The 6,303-nt window shown below is 42.7% G+C and overlaps 1 non-coding gene across 1 annotated transcript; it reads right to left on the bottom strand.

Annotated features, from left to right (window-relative positions):
* Positions 1–3,772: 3,772 nt before the first annotated feature.
* TRR-CCG1-2 (tRNA-Arg (anticodon CCG) 1-2) lies at positions 3,773–3,845 on the bottom strand. Its single transcript has one exon. It is a non-coding gene; the product is annotated as a tRNA-Arg (tRNA).
* Between the last annotated feature and the right edge of the window lie 2,458 nt (positions 3,846–6,303).

The following is a 6,303-nucleotide window of genomic DNA, read 5'->3' as shown; positions in this document are numbered from 1 at the left end:
CCCACCCGTGGGCTCCCTTGCGGTCCAAGTCTCCCTGATGGGCGCCGCCCCCTGCTCCGCGGCGCCCGGTCCCATCGACCGCCCAAGGGCTGAGGAGTGCAGGTGCGTGGCACGGGACTGGCGGGCAGCTCCGCCCGTGGCCCCAGTGCGGGATCCACTAGGCAAAGCCAGCTGGGCTCTTGAGGCGGGTGCGGACTTGGACAACTTTTATGGCTAGCTAGAGGATTGTATATGTGCCAGTCAGCACTCTGTGTCTAGCTCTGGGTTTGTGGATACACCAATCAGCACTCTGAATCTAGCAACTCTAGTGGGGACCTTTATGTCTAGCTAAAGGATTGTAAATGCACCAATCAGCACTCTGTGTCTAGCTCAGGGACTGTAAACACACCAATCAGCACCCTGTCAAAACAGACTAATCAGTTCTTTGTAAAACAGACCAATCAGCTCTCTGTAAAATGGACCAATCAGCAGAATGTGGGTGGGGCCAGATAAGGCAATAAAAGCAGGCTGCGCGGAGCAGCCACGATAACCTACTCGGAGTCGATCTCTCTGTTGTGGAAACCTTGTTCTTTATGTTCTTTGTAATAAATTTTACTGCTGCTTGCTTTTTGAGGTTTGTATTTCCTGTGTGAGCTGTAACACTTACTGTGAAGATTTGCGGTTTCACTCCTGAGACCGGCAAGAACCATGAGCGCATCAGGAGAAATGAACAACTTCAGACATACCATCTTAAGAGTTGCAACACTTATGCTGAAGGTCTGCATGTTTCGCTCCTTGTAAGCCAGCCAGACCAGGAACCCACCAGCGGGAAGAAACTCAGAACATGGGTGAACATCAGAAAGAACAAACTCCAGCCACACTGTCTTTAAAAAATAACATCACGAGGGTCTGCAGCTTCATGTTTGAAGTCAGTGAAACCAAGAACCCACCAATTCTGGACACCAGGCTGAGGCAGAAAAATTATTTGAACCTGGAGGTAGAGGCTGCAGTGAGCTTAGATCATGCCACTGCATTCCAGCCTGGGTGACAGCTCCATCTGAAAGACAACAAATAGATGATAAATGGAATTTAATCAAAAGAAACTTTTGTGCATCAAAGGACATTAGGCAGTGTTAAAAGAGCACATAGAATTGGTGAAAATGTCTTGGAAATTACATGTTTGATAAGGGTCTAACATCCAGATATATCCAAAAAAACAAAAACCAAACCTTAGAACTGAAAATCAACAAGGCAACTCAGTTTAAATGCACAAAGAACTCAAATAGACACCTCTCCAAACAAAATATGTAAATAGGCAATAAGCACTTGGAAAGTACTCTGTCTTTATTCACTAGGGGAAATGCAAATCAAAACCAAAGTAGGGTACCATTTCAAACTTTCTTGGATGGCTATAATCAGGAAAATGGCCAATGAAAAAGTGTTGGTGAAGATGTGGATAAACTGGAACTTTCATGCATTGTTGGTGAGAATGTAAAATGATAAAGCCACTGTGGAAACCGGTTTGGTGGTTCCCTTAAAAAGCTAAACATGGGTGTAGCATATGACTTAGCAATTCTAGGTGTATACCCAAAAGAATTGAAAGCAGAGACTCAAACAGATCCTTGTAATCCAATGTTCTTTGCAGCATCATTCATAATAGCTAAAAGGAGAATCCAGCCATCAACAGATGAGCAGATAAGCAAAATAACAAAAATAAAACTGCGTAAGCAGAATAGGCATCAAAATATAAGAAATTTTAAAAAATGAATATACATACAATATGGGATATATGCTGGTATATGCTGTGAGATGGATGAAACTTGAAAACATTTTGCTTAGTGATGAAATAGGCTAGGTATGAAAGGACACAAGTACTGTATAACTCCACTTATATGAAATATCTAGAATAGGCGATTTCAAAAAGACAAAAGGTGAGGGGCTGAGGCTCATGCCTGTAATCCAAGGACTTTGGGAAGTCAAGGCGGGAGGATTGCTTGAGACCAGGAGTTCAAAACCAGCTTGAGTAACATGGTGAGTCCATGCTGCCCCCCACATCTCTACAAAAAATTAAAAATTAGCCAGGTGTTGTGACACATGACTGTAGTTTAAGTTACACGGGAGGCTGAGGCAGGAGGATTCTTTGAGCCCAGGAGTTCAAGACTGCAGTGAGAATGAGACCCTGTCTCTTTAAAATGCCAAAACAAGGGCTGGGTGCGGTGGCTCACGCCTGTAATCCCAGCACTTTGGGAGGCCGAGGCGGGTGGATCACGAGGTCAGGAGATGGAGACCATCCTGGCTAACACAGTGAAACCCCGTCTCTACTAAAAGTAGAAAAAATTAGCTGGGCGTGGTGGCATGCGCCTGTACTCGCAGCTACTCGGGAGACTGAGGCAGGAGAATCGCTTGAACCCGGGAGGCAGAGGTTGCAATGAGCCGAGATAGCCCAGATCGCGCCACTGCACTCCAGCCTGGCGACAAAGCAAAACTCTGTCTCAAAAAAAAAAAAAAAGTTAAAGTGACATTTTATGTTATATATATTTTACCACACTGCATCGTGCCATTAAACAATAAAAATTTGTTCTAAACATTGAGACTTGTGCTCCAGAAATAACTTAATATTTTGGTTAAGTTTCCAGCTTTACCCTTTATTAGTTGTGTTGGGCAATGTGTTATACCCTTTTAGGTGTCAGTTTCTACATCTGTAAAAGAAGACTATTAATATATTTCTCATAGTTGGAATAGTGCAGCTACAGTGTATGCATTCGGTAAATGTTAACTGGCGTTGGTGTTAAATCTGGGAATTGCGTTGTTTCTTTTTAAAGAATTCTTATTCAGTTACCACATATTCTCACAGAAACAAATGTTCTTGAGAATCAATTTTAGCTTTCTTTTCCTCAAGAAGCGACTGGAGCTCAATTAAAAATGATGAAAACTTGCTTGATCCTGCTCTCACTGTGCTTTCTTTGCAGTAATGTTCAGATCAATTTATGGCATTGGCCCACTTGCAAAAATTCAACCTATCATGACTACTCTAATACAGGTTGCACTAGAGGACAGCTCAGTTTGGATTAAAGCTTTTGGTGGTTTCTGCCTTTAGGCTTAAGTGATGACGATTTGCCAGGTGATGACAGTTACCTTTTTTGGTAGTTAGTGAAAATCTGGAGAACACTAATTTTAAACCATGTTCAGAGTCTCAGCCATAGAGAATCTCTGTGAGAGATCTTGTTCCCAGAAATTTAACTCCCTTTATCCCTTTTTGTTGATTTTTCTCTGTAGTGATTTCCACTCCTTCCCCCGCCCCCACCCACCCCCAGCTCCAAACACATACACACAAGAGTTCAGCAACCTGAACTTTGAAAATACTTAGTGATTTCAGATTCTCAGTGAATTAACAAATGCTATTCCTTCTGCCTGAAAAATACTCATTTTTCAGCTAAATAGCATTTCTTCAGGACCTCCAGGAGGGTGGATGCTTCCTAAAGAAGTCCCCATCCCTTATTTTTTTATTTTATCCTCGTACTTCTTTTTTTCACAGGAGTGGAAACAATTTTTTTTTCTTCCCAGCGTTTGCTTGATTTCAACTGTTAGATCCAGTAGAAAGTAAGCTCTTTGAGGCCAAGTGCTATTTCTGCTTTGTTCTTTTATAAAGCAGTTGTCACAGGGCAGGCACACCGTATATACTCGTTAAATAAGACTTCTACCTTTAGTTGTTAATTGGCAGCCAGACCGGAGCAAGAAAAGGGAAAATGCTCTGAATCAACAAATATCTTTCGAACCAGAGAACGCAAAACGACGACCACGAAGGGACTCGAACCCTCAATCTTCTGATCCGGAATCAGACGCCTTATCCATTAGGCCACGCGGCCAACCGCCAAAGACAGATGCTTATATAGCACACAAAGGGAATGTAACATGGTGGGGAAGGGGGCTTTTTAAGTGCTGACTTCAAAGATCCAGCTTAATAAAAAGTTCCTCGTTTGAAATTAAAATTCACTAACAGTTAAAAACTATTTACAACACCTTCCAAAACTTGCAAATACTAATACACAGTTGTCAGAAACTGTGAGAGGACGAGCAGTTAGATGGGTCATCAGCGGTGAACCCTGTTGAAATCTCTGATTAATGGCTTCGAGAAGTGGGATAGGGAGATTTTCAGTTCTGAACTGATGCTGCACCCCTTAGGGAAAACAATCAAGAGGAGGGTGAGAGAGCGCACAGAACGTACTTTCGGCAAGTGGGGTGTGTGAAAGGAATGATGGCGACGCTGGAAGCGGGGCAGTGATGGCCAGGAAACTTCAAAGATGGTTCTGTTGGAAGTGCAGGGTTGGCGTAAGGCCGGAACAAAGTAGGTTATTCAGTTCACATATACTGTTTATTTACATGGAGCTTAGTGACTTCCATTCCTGACTTGAAGACTTCCCAAGTTTGATTTGGTCTTGACAAAAACGCGTCACCAGCTCGCTGTGGATTAATGCACAGAACAATAGGGTGTTTGGGGGGAACCCCACAGTCACCAAAAGTGTGGATGGGATAGGAAAGATGTGAAACGTCCAACCCTTAAGTAGAACTATAACACCGGTCTGTCCATTACACAGTATGATTTTGGTTCCTTGAAAATGACATGTTATTCTAACACAATGAAATCCGAGCAAAATCTCTCCCTTCCTGAACACTACACTCGTCAACAAAGAATCCCATCAACTTCTATTTTTCCTAGTGTTTTCTTCTATAGTATTTTCTTTGGGGTTAAGACCAAGCTCAAATTATTGCCGAATATTCAGTCAAAATTTTTAGAGTGTCTTACTTTAGGCTTTGCTCAGGAACCCAGGGACATCGATGAGGAAGGGACATTGATGAGGAAGAGACCACAGAGTGGCATAGGATATGAACTAGCATGAGTACAAGATTTGGAATAATATCGTACTTCTTGTCATTCCAATACAGGTTTACATAAACTGTTGCAGAACACAAAAACAACAAAATGTCCCACTGCATTTTAGAAAGGTAGCTTAACATCTACTGCAAAAACTGCAAAGATTGCCTAAAGATACAGCAATTATTATTATTATTTTGTTGTTGTTGTTGTTTTGTTTTTGAGACAGAGTCTTGCTCTGTCACCCAAGCTGGAGTGCACAGTGGCACGATCTGGGCTCACTGCAACCTCCGCCTCCAGGAAGCAATTCTCTTGCCTCAACCTCACGAATGGCTGAGACTACAGGCATGCGCCACCACACCCGGCTAATTTTTGCATTTTTAGTAAAGACGGGATTTCACCATGTTGGGCCATGGCTGGTCTGGAACTCCTGACTGCAAGTGATCCGCCCTCCTCGGCTTCCCAAAGTGCTGGGATTACCGCGTGAGCCACTGCGCCCAGCCTATTATTATTTTTGAGACAGGGTCTCACTCTGTCACCCAGGCTGGAGTGCAGTGACGCTATAACGGCTCACTGCAGCCTCGACCTCCTGGGCTAAAGGGATCCTCCCACCTCAGCCTCCTGAGTAGCTGGGACTACAGGCGCGCGCCACCACGCCCAGCTAATTTTTTTGTATTTGTATAGCTGGGGTCTCGCCATGCTGCCCAAGCTGCTCTGGAACTCCTGGACTCAAGAGACCCACCCGTCTCTTCCAAAGTGCTGGGATTACAAGAGCCAGCCACTGCGCCCTATCTATGCAGCAACCATTAACAAAACATAATATCGCCATGATGAACAAGTACAAGGACAAATGTAAAAACTGAAGAGGATTCTCTGTTCTAAAATAATTTTTGATAACATGGGAAGATGTTCTGAATACAATGTTGAGAATAAAGCAAATAATAAAAACATATGCAGTATGATCCCAATTGGATAAGTCTGTATTTATATGTCAGAGTCTCCACTCAGATTCAGTCTTGAAGTTCTTAATCCCTTTAAATAACTGGAAACTGGAACCTGTACAAGACACATTATAAGTGTTTGATGCAATACACATACATATTGTGTATAATATGTGCAACTCTCTCTCCCCATTTTCAAAGTTTGGTGAACATTTTCAATTAAAGCCAAATATTTGAAGTTATATGCAACTATTGAAACTGGATATATTGAAAGTATTGAAACTGAAAAAAAGTTAAGCTACTGGAAGATATTTTCTCATCTTCATCATCAGCATTGGGACACTTACTGTTGAAAGAATATATGTGGCTCACCTTTTTAATGAATTGGAATCAGGTCACCTGGGGCTTAGGACATCTTCTAGAACTGCCCAAGGACAGATGTGGATGATACCATGATTCATGGTCCTAATCCTTCCTCCAGAGAGGCCACAACAGAGCTAAAAGGTTTAG

Source organism: Homo sapiens, chromosome 6 (genome assembly GCF_000001405.40).
Source record: "Homo sapiens chromosome 6, GRCh38.p14 Primary Assembly".
NCBI classification, from domain to species: Eukaryota; Metazoa; Chordata; class Mammalia; order Primates; family Hominidae; genus Homo; species Homo sapiens.
The sequence above is the reverse complement of the archived record's forward strand: the minus strand, read 5'-3'. Positions and strand labels throughout refer to the sequence as shown.